At 39.1% G+C, this 27,536-nt stretch overlaps 1 protein-coding gene and 1 pseudogene across 7 annotated transcripts in view; both read left to right on the top strand.

Annotated features, from left to right (window-relative positions):
* The window catches only part of OPHN1 (oligophrenin 1), a 391,498-nt gene that overhangs the window by 338,090 nt on the left and 25,872 nt on the right, over positions 1-27,536 (top strand). For 5 of the 7 annotated variants that reach the window (XM_011530961.2, NM_001437258.1, XM_006724653.3 and 2 more), the window contains one exon: positions 22,453-22,600. In XM_011530961.2, coding sequence (XP_011529263.1) covers positions 22,453-22,600 — 148 coding nt within the window. Of the gene's footprint in view, positions 1-13,957; positions 20,065-22,452; positions 22,601-27,536 lie in introns of those variants that run through there. The other 2 variants (XM_047442145.1, XM_017029555.2) reach the window with 1 other exon arrangement.
* Positions 23,902-25,675, top strand: PGK1P1 (phosphoglycerate kinase 1 pseudogene 1; annotated as a pseudogene).

The following is a 27,536-nucleotide window of genomic DNA, read 5'->3' as shown; positions in this document are numbered from 1 at the left end:
AGCATAATTCAATAAAGAAGCACAGGGAGGCAAAAGCAGCAGGACTTGGTGACTGGAAGTCACCAAGGATGGGGGAGAGGGAGATTTCTGAATCCTGATTTTCTGACTTGGCTGACTGGGTGGATGGGGCTGTCCTTATACATATAAGAAATTCAGAATGGGAAAGTTTGAGGGAGATAGAGGAAAGTTCAGTTTGGAACAGGTCGCATTTGAGATTTGTGAAAGACATCCAGGGAGCAATGCCTGGCGAGCAGTTGACTATGTGAATCTAAAGCAGGGATCAGAAAGCTTTTCCTTAAAGGACCGTATAATAAATACTTAAGCCTTTGCAGGCCATGGATTTCTGTCACAACTACTTAGCTTTGCCATTGTAGTGAGAAAACAGCCATAGACAATATGGAAACAGATGGTTGTAGATGTGTTCTAGTAAAATTCTATTTACAAAATGGGAAACAGGCCTGTGGGCTGTAATTTGCTGACCCCTGTTCTAGAGCCCAGATGTGATAAATTGATAAATCAATTGATTCATCCAACAAATATGTGTCGAGTACCCACTTTATGCCAGGTACTGTTTCAGGAACTCTAGATATCATCTTCATAGAGTTTATATTTAGAAAAAGTAAACAAATAGTATTCAAAGTAAGTAAAGTATATAATATTTTAGATTGTAATGAACATTAAGGAGAAAAGCAGAGAAGGGAAATAGGAAGGGTTGGAAAGTGGTTTTGCAATTTTAAATACAGATAGGAAAGGAGAAAATAAGGAAATGAGGAGGGCCTCACAGAGAAGATGACCTTTCAGCAGAGATCGATAGGGAGTAGAGGAATGATTCATTCACCTATCCAGAGAGAAAGGATTCTAGGCTGAGGAAATGGTAAGTGCAAAATCCCAGAGGCAGAAGTGTGCCTGTCATATTCACGGTACAACAAGGAGGCCAGACTAGCTAGAGTGGATTAAGCAAAAGATGAAATAGAAAAAGATGGGCTCGAAGAGATAATGGAGAGGGACAGACTAGATCCTGTAGTGGAGTCTTATAATCCACTGGAAGAATTTTAGATTTGCTCTGCCTGGGTAAGATAGAAGGGGGGTTTTGAGCATGGGAGTGACAGGATTTGATTTAGGCTTAACAGGCTTATTCTGGCTGCAATGTGGAGAATATGAAGGAAGTCAAAGAAAATCTAGATAAATTGAGATACATACTGTGTTCATGGAGTGGAAGACTCAACATGATAAAGATGTCAATTCTTTAAAAATTATAAGTTTAAGGTAATCAATATCAAAATCCCAGCAAGAGCTTTTGTAGATAAAGACAAGATAATACTAACATATATGTAGAAATGGAAAGGAACTGTAAGGGCTAATACAATTTTGAAAAATAATAAACTGGAGGTAGGTATTAATAATATTAATGCTTACTGTATTGCTTCAGTAGTCAAGACAGTGTACAATTGGCAGAGGTAACCCGATAAGTCCTCTTGTCTACTTCTTACATAAACAAATAGAACAGAATAGAGAATCCACAAATAGCCCTACAGAGTATGGCCTGATTATTTTTCATGAAGGTACAAAAGCATTTCAAGGGAGAGAGGGTAGTCATTTCAATGAATTGTATTGGAGCAATTGCAGCTCTATAGGTAATGAAAGTGAACCTCAACCTAAACCTCTCATTTTATATAAAAATGAGCTCACAAAGGATCATACATTTACATATAAATCATAAAACTAAAACTTGTAGAAGATAATATAGAAAACTGTTAGAGCCTAGGACTTATTGAGGAGACATGATACCAAAAGCATAATCCATTAAAGAAAAAAAATCAATAAATTGACTTCATCAAAATTAAAAATTTTTGCTCTGTGAATGACCCTATTAATAAGATGGAAAAAAAAGCTACCGAGATTTGGAGAAAATATTTGCAAACCACGTATCTGACAAAGGATTAATATCTAGACTATACAAAGAACTCTCAAAGCTCAACAGCACAAAAATTCAATCTAATTAGAAAGTGGGCAAAAGACATGAACATGACGTATGCGTGGCAATTAAGTATATGAAAAGATGTTCAAGATCACTAGCCATTAGGGAAATACAAATTAAGACCATGATGAGAGATCTCTACACACCTATTAGAATAGGTAACGTTAAAAAAATATATAGTGGCAATACCAACTGCTGACAAGGGTACACAAAAACTGGATCTCTCACACATTTCTGGTAGGAATATAAAATGGGGCGGCTGCTCTGGAAAACAGTTTTGGAGTTCCTTAAAAACTAAACATGCACTTCTATCGGATCCATCATTTACACTCCTGGGCATTTATCCCAAAGAAATGAAAACATGTCCACACAAAACCTTTATAGGGATGTTAATTAATATTTGAAAAAAAGTTATTTAAAGCATTTTACACATATTAGCACATTTACACCTCATTTCACATAAGAAGAAACCAAGGTACAGAGAAGTTAAGTGACTTGTCCAGGGTCATGGAGTAAGTAAATGTTGGAGCTCAAATTTGAAATCAGGCAGTTCAAATGTATACTTTACCACCTCTAGATCTTTGTTATGTGTTTTGCAAATGGGTACCTGAAGTAAGTGAAGGTGAGGGTCATTATAGATGAGAGAGCTAAGGAACTTTGAGGCAAGAGTTGCTGAAGGGTCATCCACATAGTAAAGATTTTTGATAGAAAATAATTTTCTAATCCTAGCATTTGGTGGTCAGATCATGGGTCTTGTATGCTTGGCTAAGGAGTTTGGTCTTTATCCTGAAGGCAGTAGGGAGCCTTGGAAGCATATTCTGAACATTCATTATATGATGATTCATTGCATCTTAAATGTCCTAATTCATTTATAAGTGGATAAAGGAGTGACACAGCATCTCATCATTAGTATAACAAAATAATTTTTCTTTTGTTTTTATTCTATGCATTTTTAGGGGCAAATGCCAACTTAAATTTTATTAGAAAATGTGTTGGTTGGCAAATGACCTCAATCCCAATCTAGTTCATAAAAGTGTGATTTTGCTATGTCCAAAGCATATTATGTGGCATGATTTGAAAAGCAATTAAATGCTAGTTATCTCTTATTCCCAGGATATAATAGGAGGCCATTTCTATTAACTAGTGGTCAGCTGTTAAGTGAGATTTTCACACCGTTGTAACCTGTTAATATGTGTTAAGTAGTCGAAGTTCTGACCTTTGTGTGATACCAGAGATGTACGCTGACCATGTTTTCCAAACAAAGACATGGTAACCAAGGATCTTTTCTGATTTATGAATTTATTTCAAATGAAACATCTTACATGGAGATATGAAATGAAATCCCAGTTTATTAAATACTTATCAAGTTACCTTTTTTGAAAAATAGCAGAATGATATATGGGTGAGAATGTTCCAGAAATTCTAGACCTTATGTAGGTGTAACCTCACATGGTGGTTGTGGGATTAAAAGAGATAATATGTGTGAGAGCTGTTGCTGCTTCACACATAGGGATTATATGTTCCTGGCAAGTTGTTCAGTTAATGGGGTATGATTTTTCAGTTGAAATATATTATAATTTCAGTAATGTGTTTTTTCCATTTACACTTGCTCTTTAATAGAAAAGGGCTTAAACACATTGGTTTTAAGTTTTCTTTGTTACTCCTTTCTTTCAGTCTCTCTTTTAAGAGCATCCAGGGTCTGTAAATACAGTGTAAGTGAATCAGAAGAGTTGATGCTTAAAGGAGTCTATTACTAAGTCTTGCTTAAAATTTTTTTTTAACAACTTGAATGATCTTTTCTAATTTTTTTCTTTTTTAAGTTGGAAAGTAGGTAAATAATAGGGGAAGATCTACCTCTACACTGATTCCCTAGAACAACATTGCCAATTATTCTGAAGTTCTCTCTCTTCCCATCTCACTTAGCAGTATGTATCAGGGTGCCTGAACCTCATGTTGTTGGCTTGAGGCATAGAGGTAATTTGGACTGACAGAGGAAGGTTGACTTCTGTTTTCCGAACATTTTGTTTTGGGGAGCTGCCAGGAATTAGTGGGGAAGAGAGAGGTCATCTCTGAAGGCGGTTCTTAGCAATTTAGTTTTGAGGACAGAGCTATTTCACCTAAGGGGACAAAATATAGGGTAGATCCATTTGAATTTTAGAACTGGAAAGGGGCCCTAAAGACCTTCAGGTCCAAGCTTTTCATTTTATATGAAGCCTCTTTTCGCATGCCATGGTAGTGGTAACAGGTTTGCATTTCTGCAGCTCCATTCCTGCTTGTCTACTGTTTGGAACATCAGCTCTCCCCCACAGTTCTTCCCAACTAGTTTATAAAAGAACTCGGATACCAGCCACAAACTTTTACCAGTTGTCTAACTTGTGCTTTGCAAACTCATTTTCTCACCTACACAACCTGGCATCAGCTGTTTTCCTCCTTTATTGCTCCCAAGACCACTCTCAAAGAGCTAGAAAGCAGTGGTTCTGCCCCTGTAGACTTAGATTTGTATTCAGTGAACATGGAATCAGTGTGGGACAGCGTATTTCCAGCTCGTTTAGTCCTTTTTCTAACTCTGTGAATGATGGATCGTATTTCCATTTCTGAGATAGGAAATGGAGGCATTGAGTGTAGTAAGTGGCAAAGCTGAGACTTAAGTTTAGGTCTATCAGGTTAAGGCTGCCCCTCAGGGAAAGGGGGACCTGTTTTATTGAGATGTGAGCTGTGCTTTTCTTTGCATCATTGATGATGACTTAGCTATTCTAGCTACTCTTGAGTTCCCTCCTTATTTCCAGTCTTTCCTTTTTAGTGGGTGGGCATCTGCTTTTTAATCATACAGGAAGGATCTTGCCTAACTGTGTTAAGTATAGTTTTCTGGGAGAATAGTTGATTATTTTTGAGATAATTAGAAAATCTATTATCGGTGTATGTCAAAATGGATTTTAGTCTTACTGCTTAAGATATATGGTTCAGGGAAATGGAAGACTGAATGGTATAGTCTTTTCTGCAGACATGGATGGTTGAAGGCAGTTCTTCCTATAAACTGGCCGGAGAAAGCTGGGTTATTCTCAGTGTGGAGTTTGTGGGAACTCCAGTGTTGCCTATGTTCCCAAATGGCCAAATGGGACCTCATCCAGGAAAAAAGCCCATGTCGTAGCAATGTAATGGATTTGAGAAGGCAAACAAGAGACCCTGTTAAGAAATGGCTCTGATTTATATACTTTTCAGACACCCAGTCTAGCAACCTAGAGGAAACAGACCCTTCCAGTCCTGGTCTGTCTCTCCTTTCTCTAAAAGGTGGTGTTTGTGAATTTCAGTCTGCCACCAGAGGGTAGCAAGAGAACAGATGAATGTGTCCCTCCAACTGATTTCTGGAATAAGATAGATAGATAGATATTTTAAAATATAAGTAAATGTAAATATATAGTTATACTTTATAGATTTTACTGTATAGATTTATATTTTATACATTTGTATTTTAGAATGTATCTCTATATCTACCTACCTACACACACACACACACACACACACACACACACAGACACACACACTTGGTGGGGGGTGGGCGTCAGTATGTGTAAAGAGAGAGAATCTAATTAAGCCAAGACTCTACTTCACATTTAATTTCTGAAATGATAAGGTTAAGCTAAAGGTTATTGAAAATAACATTTTTATTATCTGTACATGTAAGGATATTTTCATTAGTCTCTACATGTGAATCTAATATGTATTTAGCTTGGAATTTGGCAAACATTCTCAATTGAATCTGGAGAAAAAATATCTTTAAGTTTGAATATTAAGATCAAAACGTAACCTGGAGAAAAAATATCTTTGAGCAGAGAATTATTAAGATTGGGAGATTTCAGATGTATTTATTAGTTACAATGAATCTTTGAAAACGTAGCTTCAAGTTTTCCACCTTGGCTAAGTGGAGGTCTTTCACACATTCTTCAAATGCCCAGTTACTTATAGCTTTGAAGTGAAGTCAGGCCCTGTTTGAGGTGAATAAGCATGTCCAAACCCAATGAGATAGGGTGATAAATGTAGGATGCAGTTGTGATCTGAGGTTTGCTCCAATGTTCAGAGAGCAGAAAAGATTCCCCTTTTGATTCTGGGAATTATGCCGATGATTCAGAATGAGGTGAAAATATCCACTCCTTCCCTTTTTCTCTCTCTAGCTGGGGCTGTAATAATAATTATCACAGTAAAAATGATAGCATTTTTTGACAGCTTGCTATGTGTCAGACATGGTGCTATACATTTGACACAAAGCATCTCCTCGATTTCTCACAACTTTATGTAGTATTTACTTACAGGTAAACTGCGGTCTACAGAGGTTAAGTTTCTATGGACTATCAAAATCAAATATCTGTTTTTATTTTCTTTTTGGAGGCTTCGAGTGTGTGTGGGTGGGGAAGAATATAGAATCAGAGATTTTTGAGAATCGAAAATATCTCCAAGGTCATATTGTCCATTCCCCTCAATGGCCAGCGATTTTCTTGTATCATATATTTTTTCCTTTGCTGTTCTCCTTTGAGTGGCCTGAGGTCTCAGGTTGGAACACCAGAGTCTAGATAATACAGTAAGACTGGGGCCAGTGTGCCAGAGGGCCAGATAGGTGTACTTTGGCAGCTAGACTTAAAGCAGACTGAGCTTCAGCAGTCTGGTGATAGGCCAATAGGAATTTCAGAAAACAGGAATCAATTGAGGAGCAATGAGAGATCGGGTGGACTTTTTCTTTGCTCTGAGATTTGGAGAGTGAAAACTGGGTCATTGCTACTTTCTTAGATTAAGACTCCTTACCAAGAACTCTGAAAATGTCCAGGCTACCTCTGTGAGCTCTTCAGATATCCCTAGAGTGAGAATAATGGAAAGAATGGAAAAATAGCTTTAAACTAGACAGCCCAGGGGTTACATCCCAACTTTATCCTTTACTAGCTGGGTGGTCATCTAAACAAGCCAGTTTACCCCCCTGAGCCTTGTTTCCCTCATTAAAAAAAAATGATACCAATAATTAGACATACTTCATAGAGTTTTTGGGAGGAGTCATTGAGATAAATGTTTCAAGTACTTTGTACATAGTACATTGGCCACTAAATTTTAGTACTTGCCCCTGCCCTATACCACCACCCCTTTGCTGTATTGACAGGAGATGAGCTCTGTCTTTGTGGTGGCATTCCCTCCTAATACTTTTATTAATACCTTGGTATCTACTAAGTCTTTGTAGTCAAAAGAGGCTTTTCTTAGTAGCTGTTACACCATTGTTTATGGTTGTTAAATGATAGAGAAACTCTTTAATTTCCCAACCTAAACGCATCTTAAGTTGATCTAAAAAGAAACTGCACTTGGAATCTGCCATCTCATTCTTAGTAGAAAACTCACAATCCATGCTGAGTAGATAGAGATGTCCTTAACAGGATCTGACTTTATCTTCTCTCCCCCTTGATATTTTCTTCCCAAGACAACTGGGAAGGGGAATGAACAGACAATTAGAACACGGATTACAGACCGGTTAGATATAATCAGTGGAAGTCTACAGCTGTTTCAGGCAGGAGGTACTGGTTTTTAGGGGAAATGACACCCGATTGGGCATTAGAACTCTTGGATTCTAGTCTCAGTTCTACCACCTACTAGCTTTGGGGCCTTGGGCAAGTCACTTCCCCCTCTTTGGACATCGATTTTCCCATAAGTATATTGGATGAGTAGGACTAGACAGGATTCTGGAATGTTACATCTAAAAAGGCCTTAAAGACTATGTGTTGCTGAGACCAAAGACAGCCTTAGTGACAGCCCTTTTATAAAAAGCTGGCTCTTGGTAACAACAGACGTGATACTTTCAAAGTTCTCTACATACTCTAAGCAAACTCGGTGACACACTTGATGTTTAATGTGGTCTGTGCCAAATGCTAAGAGCTCATTACTTTTGACCCTTTGCCACCTTTGTTTCTAGTGTAGTTAAGAGTATGGTTTTTGCTAATATAACCAGAACCCAGAAAGCTCAACATAGCCTTAGCCAGAGTGTAAATGGAGACTCAGTTGGAAAGCTGGGATTCATCAGGGCCAAGTCTTGTAGCTTTGATTTATAGAAAGGCAAAATGTTTTTTTGTACAATCTGATATTTGCAGCCCTGAAGCGACATCTGGAAAGAATCTGGATAGTTGCTCATTTCTGCCAAGATTTCCAAGAGTTAGAATGGGTCTGGATCTCTTGGCCTTTGGCAATTGGAAATGACCATCTTATATTAAATTTCTTCTCTCTTTCACACCTAAAGACATGACAGAGAAGAATCCGTAAGGGGGTTAATATGTGACCAAACTCAGGCAAGCAGTTCATTAACCCTCTTCCCAATGGAGGTGATCGCTCTCCTGGCAGTGTCTCAAAGCCCAGCAAATTATCCAGATTTAGTTCCCAGAAGCCTTCAGGAGAGGGATTCCAGGAGTTGGGCTCCTTCCTGAATACAACCCAAAACAACAGCCAAGGCCCATCAGAATGAAATAATATTCCTCGGATATTGAGTTCTCTTAGACCAGGCCTTTAGAATGGCACTCAGTGCCAACCATATGCCCAGAAAACAAATAAGCACTGGTTTGCCCCCAGACTCTACTTTGGCCACCTTCTGGGATTTTTTTCTGAAGTCACTATCAGAGACCATGAAGCCCTAATTGTTCTTAACCAGTCCACAGAAAGCCAAATCAGTCTGTCCTTTTTCTGGAGTTTTGGAGGGTGGGAAAATAAGTTCTGCCTGATACTGTTTCTACCCGAGGAGTTATTTTTAAACTTAAAATGTTTCCTTCTATGGTTTATAGTGGAAAGAGTGTTAGCCTTGAAGTCAGACACTTCTGAGTTCATATCATAGCCCTGCTTCTTACTATCAGGTGGCCTTGGACAATGCACATTCTTTATTCCCAGCCAAGCCTTTGGCCTCACATCCTCTTTCTAGTCTTCTCCCCAGTGAGTTGATCTAGTCTGTCTATGAGTTAGGAATTCCTACTTAATTTTTCAGCTACAGAAGAACCACTACAGTGTCCAGAGGAGGGAAAATGAAGGCCTATACCCTGTCAAGTTCTAGTGATAATTTTCTCAACTTTCCATTCATTCAGCTTTCTAATTATTCTTTCCTCCCTTAATCCTGTGGAAAGGGGTAGATAGAGGGATTTATTTTGTGGTTACCCTAATGCGCTAGTTGTTCAATCATGTCCTTCAAGCCCAGGTTGTCTTTGCAGAGAAAGGAATTTGTGTTCAGAGAAAGGAACTTGTAAACACTCAATAAATGAGTTAATATACATAAAACACTTAGACATGTGCCTGACATGTAGTAAACATTGTAGAAGAGTTGACCATTAAAACTAACTCTGACCCATGGCTTGAACTTGGAAAAAGTTTATTCCATCAAAGCCATTTTAGTCAGTCTTCTGGGTCAGCAGCTAGTACCACCATTTCCACCTTCTATTACTGCTGTCACTACCTTTTCACAATGATTGCATGAGATGCATAGGAACTGGTTTTGCATCCTGTGCCACCTAGTATTTGACCCTTTAGAAAGTCTCCATATGCTATGAGTTTCCCATTCTTTTAGGATTTATTTCTGCTTTTTTTTTTTTGGAGACAGAGTCTCCACTTCTGCCACCCAGTTTGGAGTGCAGTGGCGTGATCTAAGCTCACTGCAGTCTCCATCTCCCAGGTTTAAGCGATTCTCCTGCCTCAGCCTCCCAAGTAGCCAGGATTATGGGTGTGCACCACCACTCCCGGCTAATTTTTGTATTTTTGGTAGAGACAGGGTTTCACCATGTTGGCCAAGCTCGTCTTGAACTCCCGACCTCATGTGATCCTCCTGCCTCAGCCTCCCAAAGTGCTGGGGTTACAGGCTTGAGCCACCATGCCTGGTTTTATTTCTGCTATTGTAAAAGGGTAGGTTGTTATTCCATTCTCAGAACCTGCTTAGAATAAGTCCTTTCATGGATACACAAGAAGCCACTGGGGCATTAGGTAGAGCTTGCTAGGTTTCTTTTCTTGGACCTATTCTAACTCCCTTGTCAGCTCTGAAAGTTTTCTCATTAATATTGGACTGCCAACAGTGAGTTAAGAGATCTTGGGCCCATATTCTCTTTCCTTCCTCCTTTCTTAATAGAAACTGTGGAGTTTTCCGCAAGTTGCCCTTCCCAATTCCACTAGTTATATCTGTAGTTTATAATCCTGTTTTTAAGGTACCAATGTCACCCCTTCATTCAATGAATACTTACTAAATGCTTACTATGGACAGGTGAAGTTCTAGGCTCTGGGGATACAAACAAAACAAAGGCCCTTTTTTGTGGGTCTTATGTTCTGCTGGAGATAAACAATACATCAGGTGGTGGCAAGTGCTCTGAAGAAAAAGTAAAGCAAGGTAGTGGGTTGTTCCTTTATGGAAGATGGTCAGACAAGGCTACTGTTAATGTGTTATTTAGGCAGAGAACTGAATAAAGTAAGGGTACAAAGTATGGTAGATATCTTTGGGAAGAGCAATTCCATGAATAGGGAAAACCTAGTAGAAAGGCCCAAGGCAGCAGTGTGCTTGGCATGTTGAACAGCAAAGAAACCAGAGTGTCTGGGAGCAAGGATGACAATCTGCTCCATTTCTCTTCCCAAAAGGAATAGCAGTAACACACAGGTTAATGCCCATTGTTAAAAAAGAGTTTTGAAGTGAGGCCTTTGGAGGGCCACAGACCAGAAAAAGAGGTAAGTGGATTCTTCTTACTACAGCAATTGCCAATATTTCCACATTAAAGTTTGGCTTGAATGTTTGCATCTGTAGGCCAGCTTTGGGAAGGATGTTGCAATCCGTGATGACTGCAGGGTTATTCAGGCCACATTTTAATTTTAGAGAAGACACACAACAGGAAGTTTCCCCTTTGCTTTTCTAGACTTTTCTCACTTAAAGAGAGTGTGGTTTTAAGCCTACCAAGCACCTTCTCTGAGCTCTGCCTACTGCCACATTGGCAAAACTGCTCTCAACCAGCTCCTTACCAATGAGCCTTTCAGTATATTTTCAGGAGACAGGGCATGTGGACAACACCCTGTCCAGGTGGAATTGTCAGCTCTCATTATAAATCGTAGAAGTCAGTGAGCCCATATCTATCTTAAGGCCTGGGTAGCTTCTTGAAGAAGAACAACCTGTGAGGAAGGGTTTTTTTTTTCAATGAGAAGTGAATAATTTTTATAACTGGAGCAGGGAAATAAGATCATTTAATCTGACAGAGAGCTTGAAGAGCAATTAAGTTCATATCACCTGATTTGCATAGCATGTAACTGCTTCACTCCCTATTGCTCCGGTCTGAAAATTTCTCTGTTCCTCCCTCCCTTTCTCTACCACTCTCCTCTCCCTCTCCCTGTCCCCCTCTTTCACTCTCTCTCCCTCCGTTCCCTCCGTTCCTCCCTCTCCCCCCGTTCCTCCCTCTCCCCTCTCTCCCTCCCCCCTCCCCACCTCTTTGTGTGTCTTGTGTTTTCTCTTTCTCTAAGGAAACATAGGTTTAAGTTCTTTTTAGGGTTCATGATAATTGCAATAACTACCACTTACTGAGTGCTCAGTATGTTCCAGGCTAGGTTCTTTACATCAGGTATACCTTGCTTTATTGTGCTTTACTTTATTGCTCTTTGCAAATATTTTATTTTTAAAAACAATTTGAATGTTGGTGGCAATCCTGTTTCAAGCAAGTCTATCAGAGCCATTTGTCCAACAGCATGGGCTCACTTCTTGTCTCTGTGTTACATTAGGAAAATTCTTGCAGTATTTCAAACTTTTTTTTCTTTCTTACATCTGTTGTGGTGATATGCGTTCAGTGATCTTTGATGTTACTATGTAATTGTTTTGCGGCTCCATGAACTACACCCAGACAAGATAGCAAACTTAATAAGTAAATGTTGTATGTTCTGACTGCTCCGCCGATCAGCCATTCCTCATCCCTCTCCCTCTCATGCTTCCCTATTCCCTGAGACACAACAATATTGGAATTAGGCCAATTAAAAACCCGACAAAGGCCTCTAAGTATGCAAGTGAAAGAAGGAGTTGCATGTCTCTCATGTTAACTCAAAAGCTAGAAATGATTAAGCTTAGTTAGGAAGGCATGTTGAAAGCTGAGATAGGCTGAAAGCTAGGCCTCTTGTGCCAAACAGTTAGCCAAGTTGTAAATACAAAGGAAAAATTCTTGAAGAAAATTAAAAGTGCTACTCCAGTGAACACACAAATGATAAGAAACCAAAATAGCCTTATTGCTCATAGGGAGAAACTTTTAGTGGTCTGGATAGAAAATCAAACCAGCCACAACATTCCCTTAAGCCAAAGCCTAATCCACAGGAAGGTTGTAACTCTTCAATCTGTGAAGGCTGAGGAAGTAAGGAAGCTGCAAAAGAAAAGTTTGAAACTAGCAGAGGTTGAGGCCGGGCGCGGTGGCTCACGCCTGTAATCCCAGCACTTTGGGAGGCCGAGGCGGGTGGATCATGAGGTCAGGAGATCGAGACCATCCTGGCTAACAAGGTGAAACCCCGTCTCTACTAAAAATACAAAAAATTAGCCGGGCGCAGTGGCGGGCGCCTGTAGTCCCAGCTACTCGGGAGGCTGAGGCAGGAGAATGGCGTGAACCCGGGAAGCGGAGCTTGCAGTGAGCCGAGATTGCGCCACTGCAGTCCGCAGTCCGGCCTGGGCGACAGAGCGAGACTCCGTCTCAAAAAAAAAAAAAAAAAAAAAAAAAAAAAGAAACTAGCAGAGGTTGGTTCATGATGTTTAAGGAAATAAACCAGTTCCATGACATAAAAGTGCAAGGTGAAGCGACAAGTGCTGATGTAAAAGCTGTACCAAGTTATCCAGAAAATGCAGCTAAGATCATTGATGAAGGTGGCAACACTAAAAAACACATTTTCAGTGTACATGAAATAGCCTTCTGTTGGAAGAAGATGCCATGTAGGACTTTCATAGCTGCAAAGAAGTCAATGCCTGGGTTCAAAGTTTCACAGGACAGGCTGACTCTTTTCATTAAGGACTAATGCAGCTGGTGAAGCCAAGGCTCATTGACCATTCTGTAAATCCTAGGGCCCTTAAGAATTATGCAAAATCTACTCTGCCCATGCTCCATATGTGGAACAACAAAGCCTAAGTGACAACACATCTGTCTACAGAATGTTTTACTGAATATTTTAAGCCCACTCTTGAGACCTACTGCTCAAAAGAAAAGCTCTCTTTCAAAATATCACTGCCCATTAACAATGTAGTAATCACCCAGCAGCTCTGATGGAGATGTGCAAGGAGATTAATGAATGTTGTTTCCATGCCTACTAATACAACATCCATTCTGCAGCCCATGGATCAAGGAATAAAGTAACTTTCCAGTCTTATTATTTAAGAAGTAGATTTCATCAGGATTTAGATCCCATAGATAGTGATTCCTCTGATGAATCTGGGCAAAGTAAATTTAAAACCTTCTGGAAAGCATTCACCAATCTAGATGTCATTAAGAATATTAATAATTTATGAGAGGAGGTCAAAATATCAACAAAATAACAGAGGTTTGAAAAAGTTAATTACAACCTTCATGGCTGACTTTGAGGAGCTTAACCCTTCAGTGGAGGAAGTAACTGTAGATGTGGTAGAAATAGCAAGAGAACTAGAATTAGAAGTGGAGCCTGAAGACGTGACTGAATTGCTGCCATATGAGGATAAAAGTTCAATGGATGAGAAGTTACTTTTTATGGATGAGCAAAGAAAATGGTTTCTTGAGGTGGAATCTACTCCTGGTGAAGATGCTGTGAACATTGTGGAAATGATAACCAAGGATTTAGAATATTGCATAAACTTGGTTTACTAAAGCAGTGGCCGGGTTTGAGAGGAGTGACTCCAATTTTGAAAGAAGTTCTGAGGGTAAAATGCTATCAAACAGCATGGCATGCTACAGAGAAATTTTTTTTTGTGAAAGGAAGAGTCAATTGATGCAGCTAACTTCATTGTTGTCTTCTTTTAAGAAATTGCCATAGCCACTCCAGCCTTCAGTAAGCACCATCCTGATCAATCAGCAGTCATCAACATAGAAGCAAGACCCTCCACCAGCAAAAAAGGGTATGATTTGCCAAAGGCTCTGGTGATTGTCAGCATTTTTTAGCAATAAATTATTTTTAATGAAGGGATGTATACCTTATTTTTAGGAATCATGCTATTGCACACTTACTAGACTACAGTATAGTATAAGCACCATGAAACCAGAAAAAATTGTGTGGCTCAGTTTATTGTGATACATATTTTATTCTGGTGGTCTGGAACCAAATCCACACTATCTCCTAGGTATGTCTGTATGTTACCTCATTCAACCATCACAACAACCCTATGAGGTAGATGGTATCACTATTCTCATTTTGCAGCTGACATTTTCAAAATGCAAACTGAGCTTCAAGTTTGAGATTCATATAGTTTAAGTTTCTTGCCCCTGGTTACATAGCAAAGCTCCAACACAACTGACTCTGACTCTGTCCTGACTCTTTGACCTCTACTTTGTACTCTCTCACCTCTATTTTGTACTCTCTCTTCCCAATTATAGTTGGTGAAGGAATAAATGAAAAAAAAAGTTCTATTATTTAATATGCTCTAAAGGGCCTGGTAGCCAAAATTCATCCATTCATTTTAAAAACTGTCATTGAGCTGCTTTATCTTGCCTCGTGCCCTACTCAGCCCTAGTCTCTAGAGAGGAATCACGAAAAAAAATCTCTGCTGTCAGAAAAGTTATGGGACTTGGGGGTATCTGGAACCAACTAACACTCAGGATGCAGTGTAATAAAGACTGTGGTGAAGATGTGCATTGGATGCTGTGGGAGCCCATGGAAAGGGAACTTACCTCTCTATTGGGAATCAGAGAAGTCTTCATACAGTGGGTAATGCATGATGTGAGTCCTGAAAATCAGAGGAGTAGATTAATTGATTAACCTTCTGTAAGAAAAGTCCTCCTATAACAGAGGACTGCAAATTATTTGGCTTAAATATGATGGAGAGGAGTTCATTTTTCTCTCACATAAAAGTCTAGCAGTGAATAGTCCAAGATCAATGACATACTTCTGCCATCCTCACCACTTGGCTTCAGTTTCTTGATCCTAGATAGCTATTCCATTTGTCCCCATTTACTAGCCAGAGAGAAAGGGAAAAAAAGACAGAATGTAATACAGACAGCTTCTTCATAAAAGCATGACCCAGAGGCTTTCATGCATTATTTCTACTTGTATTCTGTTATCTAAAACTTAATCACATGTCCTTACCTAGCTGCAAGGGAGACTAAGAAAGGTAGGCATGGGTGCCCAGCTACCATTCAGTGACTTCCATTAGTAAAAGTAAGAAGGGGAAGGTGGGTACCAGTAAGCAATTAGCAGTCTCTTCCATAAAGGGTAAGAGTGAAAGTGTTCTGTGTATAGATCACTCTGGATACATACAGGAATGAGACACCAGAGAAATTAAGTTCCATAAAATAACCAAAGAACTAAATAACTAAGAGACTAAAGAACTTTAATAATTCAGCATGGCTATAGTGGAGGGTGAATGTAGGGGAATAGTGGAAGATGGGGAAGATGGGGCTGGAGATTTCAGGATGTGGCCAGATTATTGAGTACTTTGTGTGCTAACTAAGGAATTTGGCCTTTGTCCCGAAGACAGTGAAGAGTCATTGAAACATTTTAAGCAGTGGAGTAACACAATTAGATTAGAGTTGAGAAAGATCACTCTACCTGCACTTGGGTAGACAGATTAAAGACAGGAGTGGCTGGAGACAGAAGGAACAATTAGGAGACTATTATAATCATAGAGAGACATGATGAGACTCAACCAAGTCAGTGGTAGTGAGCAGAGGGGACAGATTAGAGAGACATTAAGGAAGTATAATTGATAGAACTTGGTGACTAAATGGATGTGGGATGTGAGAGAGGGGGAGGATTTTAAGATAATAATGTCCAGATTTGTGGCTTGGACATTGGCATTGTTTTAGATAATAAAAAATTTTAAGGGACGAAAGTGTTTAATTCTAGAAATGTTGAATTTGAGATACCTCTGGGATATCCAGAAGGCAACATTGAGCAGTTAGTTAGATATATTGGTATAGAAACCAGTAGAGAAACTTGGTAGTGCAAGCCATGTGAGTGGATGACACGGTTGAGAAAGCGAATGAGTGCAGACAAGTGAGATCATTAGAAGGTTGAGGACATAATCCTGGAGAACATTAAATTTCAGAGAGAGCCAGTGAAAGAGACGACAGTGTTCAGAGAAGCAGAAAGGTAAAGAGAGAGGAATTTTTAGAAATGGATTGGTTAAATGTGTTAAATGTTGGAGCACAGTCAAAATAAAAATTGAAAAAGTACCTGTTGGAGTCAGCAATCAGCAGGCCAGTGGTGATCATTGTAAAAACAGTTACAGAGGAGTGATGTGGGCAGAGACAAGGTTGAGGATCAACTGGAGGATGAAGAAATGGAGACTTAACTGTCTGGAAAGTGTAGAAGAAAATGAATGTGATGGCAGTGGAGAGTAGCTTGGGTTCAGACAGGAGAGACTTAAGTTCATTTAAATGCTTTTGAGAAACAGTATTGTAAGAAAGGAGATGAATGATGGAGGAAGGTCCCTGAGAAACAGGAAGAGATGAGATGGGATCCAGAGCATAGGTAGAGGCATTCTCCTTAGAAAGTGAGGAGAGATAAAGTAGGTTTATAAGTGTGGATGTCAATGAGTTTGTCAGTATGGGGACAGAAAGTTGAAGTTGTTTACTTTATTTATTTATTTATTTATTTATTTATTTATTTATTTATTTTGAGACAGTCTTGCTCTGTTGTCCAGGATGGAGTGCAGTGGTGCAATCTGGGCTCACTGCAACCTCCACCTTCCAGATTTGAGCAATTCTCCTGCCTCAGCCTCCTGAGTAGCTGAGATTACAGGCATGCTGCAACATGCCTGACTAATTTTTGTACTATTAATAGAGCTAGGGTTTCACCATGTTGGCCAGGCTTGTCTTGAACTCCTGGCCTCAAGGGATCCGCCTGCCTCAGCCTCCCAAAGTGCTGAGATTACAGACATGAGCCACCGCGCCCAGCTGAAGAAGTTTACTTCTAATGACCTCCCTTTTCTCTGAAGTATGAGGTGACGCCATCTGTGAGGGAGGGTGTCTATGGTCTGGTATATTATGAATGGCTCAGCAAGGATGTCTTCTAACTGAGCAAAGGGAAATAATATATGATGCGTTTATCTCCATTAATAACACTCACTTGGGTTCAATCGGAAGAGATTGTTGGATGGACAGATGCATGGATGGATGCCTATAAACATAATAAATATGTATTCTGTTTTCCTCCACTCAATGTTTTCAAAACGTTTTTTTAGAAGTTTAGTTCAGGGTTAAAATTTTCTTGAATCCCATCTGCATTAAGTAAGTATATTCTCATTTGTTATTCCTCTTCATTATTCTAGACCAACATTTTTCAGCCTTGGTATTATTTTGACATTTTGGGCCAATAATTCTTGTTGTGGGGACTGCCCTGGGCATTGTTGGATGTTTAGCAGGATTCCTTGCCTTTCCCCACTAGATGCCAACCCCCCTTCCACAGTTGTGACAATAAATATTTTCACAGATGTCATGAAATGTCCCCTGGAAAATAGAATTGGCCCCATTTAAGAGGTTGTATTCAAAACCAAATGGAAGGGCCCTGGAGAGAGAGAGAGAGAAGGGGGATTTAAGCTAGACAAATACTCATGTACATTTATCAGTTGATCATGACAACTATACTCATAGACATGATCTTCTTTTGGCAAATTAGACAACTGAGGCTCAGAGAGGTTAAATGACTTGCCTAACATGACAGAGGCCATAAGTGATAGAGCTGGGGTTTGAACTCATGTGTGTTAGATCCCTACAATTTAGGTTCTTTCTTAAGCAACAATAAAAAATATTTTAGAGGGTGTCCTTGTTTTCATTTTTATTATGTTTTAAAAAATCAAACTAAACTTAAAATTCAGCACAAAAATTTAAATAATATAGAAGTGTATAGACTAAAACAGGAATGTATCTGTTGACATTCCTCTGTAATCCTATTCACTTTCCTAGAGGTTATGATTGTGATTGTTAACAATTTAATGTGTATGCTTTTAGACCCTTTTCTTTGCAATTATAAATGACAAAGGACAGTGCATTCATACACACACAAAACTATTTTTGAATAATGACATCATACTATATATACTATTCCATAAGCTACTTTAAAATATTTAATCTTTCCACCTCAGTTCTTACAAATCTACATCACCACCTTTTAACAGTTGTGTAATATTCCTCAGTGAGTGAACCACAATTTATGTAACTTTCCCATGTTAATAGATATTTATGTAGTTTTATTTTTTTTATGGTACATGGAACTTGCATAGATATCAGTGTGTGTATGTGTCAGGATTTCTGCTTAATAGGGGTTTTAAAAGTAGGGAGATCAGAGGTCTTGCCTATTTAAAATCATGATTGCTACTACCAGATTGACCCCCAATATGGATAAACCAAATCATCCTCCCAATAACAGCTTATAAAGGTGACTGTTTTTACCCACTTCTTTGTCAGTTTAGGACAATATCGATTTTTCTTAATTTATCAGTCTAATAGGCAAAATGTGATATCTTGTTTGAATTGTAGTTTTATAATTATTAGTGAAGTTGATTTTTATGTTCACAAGCTATTTCATTTTCTTTTCCTTTGTATGTCCTTTTCAGTGGCTGGTCGCTTCAAAATCCTCCCCTCTCCAGGCCACTCCCACACTAAACTCTTCACCTAAGGCAACCACTAATCAGTTCTGTTAGTATAATTTGTGTTTCCTAAAGTTTTGTATAAACGGAATAATGCAGTATATACTTTTCTTTTGGTCTGGCTTCTTTGGTTCAGCATAGTTATTCTGAGATTAATTTAAGTTGTTATAGTGAGTCAATAGTTCATTCCTTTTTAGTACTGAGTAGTATTCCATCATATATACCAAAATTTGGTTGTCTATTCACTAGTTAATGGACATTTGGGTTGTTTCAGTTTGGGTCTGCTGCAAACATTTGTGTACAGTCTGTACGACTATATGTTTTCTTTTTTCTTGAGTAAACATGAAGGAGTAGAAATGACTGAGTCACATAGTAATTATACATTTAATTTTTAAAGAAAACGTAAAACATTTTTCTTAAGTAACTGTATCATTGTACTTTCTGGAAGAGACTGTAAAACTCATGTTAATTCTGTATATGTTTGGTGGAATCCTCCAGCTAAACTCTCTGGGTCTAGAGATTTCTTCTTTGGAAGTTTTTAAACTATGAATTGAAATTTTTTAATGGTTATAGGACTATTCAGATGATCTATTTCATTGGGTGGTTTTTTTTTTTAATTCACTATGACATTGTATGATTTTACATTCCCATCAGCAGTGAAAGTTCCAGTTCCTCCATATTCTTTTCAACATGTGGTATGGTCAGTCTAAAAAATTTCAACCATTCTAATAGGTGTTCAGTGGCATCGCATCATGTTTTTAGCATGCATTTCCCTATTGACTTAATGATGTTGAACTTTTTTTATGTTTGCCATTTGTATGTTTTCTTTGGTAAAGTGTCTATTCAAATATTTTGCTTATTCTTTAAAAACTGATTTACTTGTTTTCTTATTATTGAGTTATTGAGTTTTGGGAGTTCTTTATATAATATATATATAATACAAGTTCTTTATCAGACATATGATTTACAAATATTTTAACTCAGTCTGTGGTTTTTCTTTTCATTCTTAACAGTGTCTTTTAGAAAATCATGAGTTTTCAAATTTGATGTTCAGTTTATTGATTATTTTATGAATCATTGTATCTAAGATATCTTTGGCTAACCTAAGATTACAAAGATTTTTCTCCTCGAAATTTTATAGTTTCAGCTTTTAAATTTGATTATAGCCCATTCTGAGTTAGTTTTCTTCTGTGGTATAAGATACGAATTGAAGTTTTTTTTTTTTTTTTTTTTTTGCCTATGTATATCACATTGTTCCAGTACCATTGCTGTCCTTTCTCCACTGAATTGCCTTTGTAAAATAAATAAATAAATTTATCTGTATAGATGTGGGTCTATTTCTGGGCTTTCTATTTTGTTCCATTGATCTATTCACCTATCTTGACATCAGTGCCACACTGTCTTAATTGTTGTAGCTTTATAATAAGACTTGAAATCAGGTAGTGTTAGCTTTCCAACTTTGTTTTTCTTTTTCAAGATTGTTTTGGCTATTCTAGGTTCTTTGCATGTCCTTATACATTTTTGAATCAGCTTGTCAATGTCTACATACAAGCTTACTGGTATTTGGGTTGTGTTCAGTCTGTAGATCAATTTTGTGAGAATTTACATCTTAACACTATTGAGTCTTTATACCTGCAAACAAAATATATCTCAGTTTATCTAGATTTTCTTAATATTTCTCAGCAATATTTTGAAGATTTTAGTGTACAAAATCTCTCTGGCACTTTGCCTTGCAAATTCTCACTTCCTTGTCTTTCCCATACTCCCAATTCAGTCTTCTCAACGTAGGGATACTACTGGGTTCCACTTGGGTTCCCCTTCCTGCACTGCAGCCTGCAAAACTCTAAGCTGGGAAACTCATAGGGCTGACCTCATTTGTTTTTTTCAGTCTCTCAGCATTCACTGTCCTTCACTGCTGGATTTCCAATGCCTTTAAAACTACTGTTGCATGTATTTTTCCTAGTTTTGTTTTGTTTTTACTTGTTTCAGGCTAAATGAGTAAAACTAGTTTCTGTGCCCTATCTTGGCCGGAATAAGATAGTAGCTGTTTGTAGTAGTATTTTAGTAGTAGTAGTTAGTAGCTGTTAATAGTAGTAGTATTTTCAGGTGACAGTTTGGCCTTTTACATTAGAATTGCAAATGTATTTGTTTTTTGCCTCAGCAATTCCAGTCCCTCTTCTAGGTGGTGGAGATAGAGCAGTGAACATGACAGACATGCTTCTATGTTGTGTAAAATCTAGCTTGGAGACAGACAGCAAACAAAATCAATAAGTAAAACGTGTTATATGTTAGAAAGTGATAGGAAATGCTGAAGAGAAAAAAAATTAAAATGGAAGGAAGATAGGAATGCTTGCGTAGAGGGAGGCATGTCATTGTTTTAAATATATTGACCTGGAAGGGCTTACTGAGCAGAGTATGTTTGATTAGAATCCTAGAAGAATGGATATCTGAAGGAAGATCAGTCTGGGTGGAAGAAACAGTCAGTGCAACGACCTCATGTATTCGAAAAATAGCAAGGAATATTTGTAACAACTACTACAGTGTTTGAGCTCACAAAATGGTGGCTCTTTAGACTATTATTACTAATGATGGTGGAATTAGGAATATGACCTAGAACCGTATGGCCTCAACATTAATCTGCTTGCTGTTAAGTTACATTTTGTCTTCCTTACAATCATGAGGCATATACTCACGGTTTGTGATTGTTCATGCATTGTTTCTTATCATTGTCCACCTTTTACACAGCTTGCCTTGTGTTCTCAATCATGTTATTTCCATGCCCATGTAGTCTGTGTTGACCCTTGCCTGATGGGATATTGGGCTCTGACATTTCTCTTTACACTAATCACTGGGGTTGATTTTGTTAGTCTCACTGGCTAGACAGTGGTCTCCTTTCTCCATCACATATGTGTATCATCCCATAGTGTATGCACTTGGGCTAAAAGGTTGGTCTCCATGGAGACTGGAAAATCCTTAAGTACACATGAGACATTATATAAAAATTCTAATCACAGCTCCTTCTGCATGCCTTCGGCACTTCTTATAGCATCCAAGGCACTGTGTTGTTGCTTTTTAATTTTATTTTACTTTTTATTGAATAGATAATGTACCATGGCATGAAATTATAAAAGAACAAAGTGACATAGGAGGGAAAACACAGTTGTTCTCCCTGTATTCCCCAGCCAATCATTAGTCCTACCTTGAGACAAACAATGTAATCAGATTCTTTGGTATCCCTTCAGAACTATTTAAGGCATATGGGCATGTAATTGTGTTTAGTCTCCTTCCATGTCCTACCCCCACCCATAGAAGGCACCTTGACAGCTCCTTTAATTTCTTTCTTACCACACTCTGTGAAGTGGGTGATGCTGTCCCTATGTTACGGATGAGAAAGCCAAGGCTCAGAGAAGTGAGGTGACTTGCCTAAGGTCTCCCAGGAAGGACATGGAAAATCCAGGACTAATGCCATCTTTTATAGGCATTTTTTCTTCCAAACTGAGAAGTGCCAGGTTCTGTGCCTTGAGCATAGTAGGAGATACCTAAACATTTACCTGTAGCTAGAGTGATTAAGAAAATCTCTGATTCTTTGAGTCATGTTAGTATTCACGTTACAAACTCTAGATATAAGGCCAACAAGCATCAACTGGTGGGTAGCATTCAGAAGACAAAAACTTGATCTAATTATTCTCTAGATATCTTCCTTCTTTCTCCACAGATCTATTTAGGTCCACCTGAGGAAAGCGCTGCACCGCCAGTGCCTCCGCCTCGGGTGACAGCAAGAAGGCACAAACCAATCACGATTTCAAAGCGCTTGCTGCGAGAAAGGACGGTTTTCTATACTTCTTCCCTGGATGAAAGCGAAGGTCAGTACTGAGGTTCACCTTTAGCTTCTGAATGGTGATTAGACACAAAGAGGATATCGAAGGGCAGAAGCGGTGGCATGACCATTTTTCTCTCTATAAAAGTAGACCTTTCCTGGCTCCTGAGCTTAAAAGCAGCCAGGGTTTGTAGTTTGTGCTCAGAGAGGGGATTAAGCCTTTGACAGCAGATAGGATGGTGATGAGCTTGTAAAGGAAGTTACCACGTGGAGGATCCCTATAAGGCCAGTGCAGGATCCAAGGTGTTCTTAGATTTATGCCCCCAATATATTGAAATGGGTGAGCAAGGTGAATGTTGTGAAATTTTAAATTCAAATATAGCAAACACGGATTGGATAACTACTATGTGCCAGGTACTGTGCTAGGTGAAATTAAGATACATTGCTTGCCCTCACAGAAGAAATGGAGACATAGATAAGTGAAGAAATAAATGCCTTCAGTGGAATAATTGCTAGTGTGGAGACTACACCCATTCTAAATGTGCCTCTGCCCTCCTACTCCACTAAGACCATTTTTGTCAGGTTTGCCAATAATCTCCATGAGGCCAAACCAAATAGCTACAACATTGTTCTCATCATACTCAGTTTGTGAGTAGCATCTGACACAGTTGACTAACTCCTCCTTCTTGAAACACTTTATTCACCTGGCTCTCAGGATACCAGATTTTCCTTTAATCTCACCAGATAATCCATCTCAGTCTTCTCTCCTGGTTTTCCTTCTCTTCCCAACTTTACATGTTAGAAGGTCCCAGAGCTTTTTTCTTAGTCCTGTTCTCTGATCATGTTCTTTTCCTGTGTGATCTCATTAAATTTCATGGTTTTACATATCATTTAAATGCTAAAGATGATTTCCAAATTTATCTAAGATTGATATCTTGCCTCTTTTGTCATATCAAATTTCCTGCTCAACAGTTCTCCTTGGATGACTCATGGGCATCTCAGTTTACACTGTGCAAAACATAACTTGATGCCTGACTCTTTCTTAACCTGCTCCTACTCTGGTCTCCTCCATCTAAGTAATTGGCAGCAGCAGTCATCCAGTTGCTAAGGTCAAGAACTTTGGAATCATCCTTGGTTACTACTTTCCCTTTTTCCTTCATATTGAATCCATTGGCAATTCTTGTCAGCTCTACCTGCACATTATATGCTAACTTCTACTACTGCCCACTGCTTCTATCACTGTAAGCCACTATTATCTCTTACCTGGTATCATTGCTTGCCTTCTTCCTTGCCTGTAATTCATTCTCCCCGGCAGCCAGTAACAGCACATCCTTTAAAATATGGAAATCAGGATTCTGCAAGCTTCCCAAGCACACATCAGCAGCCGGCTCCCTTACTGTCTGAATCATCGACCTCTCTCCATTTCCAAAATGTCGCTTTCTAACAAGCTGACATTGGACAAACCAGACGTCAAAGGGCAGCGGGTCATTATGAGAGTGGACTTCAATGTTCCTGTGTAGAATAACCAGATAACAAACAACCAGAGGATTAAGGCTACTGTCTTAAGCATCAAATTCTGCTTGGACAATGGAGCCAAGTCAGTAGTCCTTATGAGCCACCTAGGCCAGCCTGATGGTGTCCCTATGCCTGACAATACTCCTTAGAGCCATTTGCTGTAGAATTCAAATCTCTGCTGGGCAAGGATGTTCTGTTCTTGAAAGACTGTGTAGGCCCAGAAGTGGAGAAAGCCTGTGCCAACCCAGCTGCTGGGTCTGTCATCCTGCTGGAGAACCTCCACTTTCATGTGGAAGAAGAAGGGAAGGGAAAACTCTGGGAACAAGGTTAAAGTGAGCCCGCCAAAATAGAAGCTTTCCGAGCTTCACTTTCCAAGCTAGGGAATGTGCATGTCAATGGTGCTTTTGGCACTGCTCACAGAGCCCACAGCTCCATGGTAGGAGTCAGTCTGCCACAGAAGGCTGGTGGTTTTTTGATGAAGAAGGAGCTGAACTACTTTGTGAAGGTCTTGGAGAGCCCATAGCGACCCTTCCTGGCCATTCTGGGTGGAGCTAAATTTGCAGACAAGATCCACCTGATCAATAATATGCTGGACAAAGTCAATGAGATGATTATTGGTGGTGGAACGGCTTTTACCTTCCTTAAGGTGCTCAACAACATGGAGACTGGCACTTCTCTGTTTGATGAAGAGGGAGCCAAGATTGTCAAAGACCTAATGTCCCAAGCTGAGAAGAATGGTGTGAAGATTACCTTGCCTATTGACTTTGTCACTGCTGAGAAATTTGATGAGAATGCCAAGACTGGCCAAGCCACTGTGGCTTCTGGCATACCTGCTGGCTGAATGGGCTTGGACTGTGGTCCTGAAAGCAGCAAGAAGTATGCTGAGACTGTCACTTGGGCTAAGCAGATTGTGTGGAATGGTCCTGTGGGGGGTATTTGAATGGGAAGCTTTTGCCCAGGGAACCAAAGCCCTCATGGATGAGGTGGTGAAAGCCACTTCTAGGGGCTGCATTACCATCATAGGTGGTGGAAACACTGCCACTTGCTGTGCCAAATGGAACACAGAGGATAAAATCAGACATGTGAGCACTACGGGTGGTGCCAGTTTAGAGCTCCTGGACAGTAAAGTCCTTCCTGGGGTGGATGCTCTCGGCAATATTTAGTACTTTTCTGCCTTTTAGTTCCTGTGCACAGCCCCTAAGTCAACTTAGCATTTTCTGCATCTCCACTTGGCATTAGCTAAAACCTTCCATGTCAAGATTCAGCTAGTGGCCAAGAGATGCAGTGCCAGGAACCCTTAAACAGTTGCACAGCATCTCAGCTCATCTTTACTGCACCCTGGATTTGCCTACATTCTTCAAGATCCCATTTGAATTTCTTAGTGACTAAACCATTGTGCATTCTAGAATGCATATATGCATATTTTGCCTGTTAAAAAAAAAGTGAGCTGTGTTAGCTTAGTTCTCTTTTGATGTAGCTTATCCTGATTAGCTTTGTCACTGTTTCACTACTCAGCGTGGAAACAAGATGAAATTCCATTTGTAGGTAGGGAGACGAAATTGATGATCCATTAAATAGACAATAAAAGTGTCCATTGAAACCATGAAAAAAATGGAAATCAGATCACATCATTCCCTCTGTGCCAAATTTTCAGTAACCTCCCTTCATACCTAGAATAAAATTTGCATTTTATTCTTCATTATATGACTGTTGCTTATTTCTGTGACCTTCATTTCTGAACTTTGCTCTCTCACTGTCTCTTTTGCTCTCTACTGTAATCTCATTGTTCTTGCAGGTCCTTACTTGTGTCAAACTTACCTAAGGGCCTTTGCATTTGCTACTCTCTTGGCCCTAAACATTCTTCCTCCAGAACTTCACAAGGCTCACTCTTTCATTCAGGTGTCTACTAAATGCTTTCTTCTCATAGAGACCTTTTCTTAACATTCTACTTAAATAGTTCTTTCTCCTCCTCCAATCACTCCCTATCCCTTTATATGGCTTAATGCAACTCATATCCCCTGCTTCTGTTTGTTCACATGTTTATTATCTCTCTCTCCCATTAGAATGTAAAATCTATTTGATTACCAGGCCCTAGAACAACTCCTGGTATACATATCATGTATTTAGTAAATATTCTAAGAATGAATGAGTGGATGTATAAGGAATGATGAAGAGATTATCACTTAGGTTAAGGGATCAACTCTTTGACAGAGGAGGTGAGCTGGCATTCAGGAGAAAGTGGAGGGGAACATTGGATGCCTGTCTGTTGTTCCATAGTCTCATTTTTACAGAATGGGTTTGTTTATTTACAGTCTCCCCAAATATAAACTCTATGCCAGTGGCCACTTGTTTTTTTTACTATATCCAAAGCATGGGCACAGTGCCAGGCATATAGTAATTCCTTAATAAATGAGTGCAAAAAATGAATGAACTGTGTGTCAGTAGATAGAAGGTCTAATTTAATCTTGGCTACTAGCCTGCTGAATAACTTGAGCTAGTCACTTCCCCTCTCTGGACCTCAATTTGCCCCTCTGTGGTGATGAGGGCTTTGGGACAGAAGATCTCCAATGAGGTTACCCAGTCTAGACATTTTTTATTTTTAACTTTTTTAAAAACTGAGCTATAATTCACATACCATAAAATGCACCATTTTAAAGCGTACAGTTTAATGGTTTTTAGTAAATTTTGTGCAACTATCTTATTCCAGAACATATTCATCATCCCAGAATCCCAATACTTTTAAATTTACTTCTCCCCCAACCTCTGACAGTTACTGATCTACTTTCTGCCTCTACGGATTTGCCTATTCTGAACATTTCATAGAAATATAATTATAGAATATGTGGACATTTTTGGGTGGCGTCTTACTCTTAGCATAATATTTTCAAGGTTCATCCACATTGTAGAATGTATCAGTACTTCATTCTTTCTTATGGACAAATAATATTCCTTTGTATAGATGTAGCACATTTTATTTATCCATTGATCAGTTGATGGACACTTGGATTGTATTCATTTTTTGGTTATTATAAATAATGCCGCTGTGAACATTCATGCACAGGATTTTGTGTGGATGTCTGTTTTTAATTATCTTGGGTATATACCTAGGACTGGAATTGTAGGTTATATGGTCGGTCTATATTAAAACTTTTGAAGAATTGCCAGGCTGTTTTCCAAAGCAGCTGTACCTTTTTTTTTTTTTTTTTTTTTTTGAGATGGAGTCTCACAGTGTCGCCTGGGCTGGAGTGCAATGGCGCGATCTCAGCTCACTGCAACCTCCGCCTGCCAGGTTCATGTGATTCTCCTGCCTCAGCCTCCCGAGTAGCTGGGATTACAGGTGCATACCACCACACCAGGCTAATTTTTTGTATTTTTAGTAGAGATGGGGTTTCACTGTGTTGGCCAGACTGGTCTCAAACTCCTGACCTCATGATTCGCCCACCTCGGCCTCCCAAAGTGCTGGGATT

Source organism: Homo sapiens, chromosome X (assembly GCF_000001405.40).
Source record: "Homo sapiens chromosome X, GRCh38.p14 Primary Assembly".
NCBI lineage: Eukaryota > Metazoa > Chordata > Mammalia > Primates > Hominidae > Homo > Homo sapiens.
This window is presented reverse-complemented; position numbering and strand designations above follow the sequence as displayed.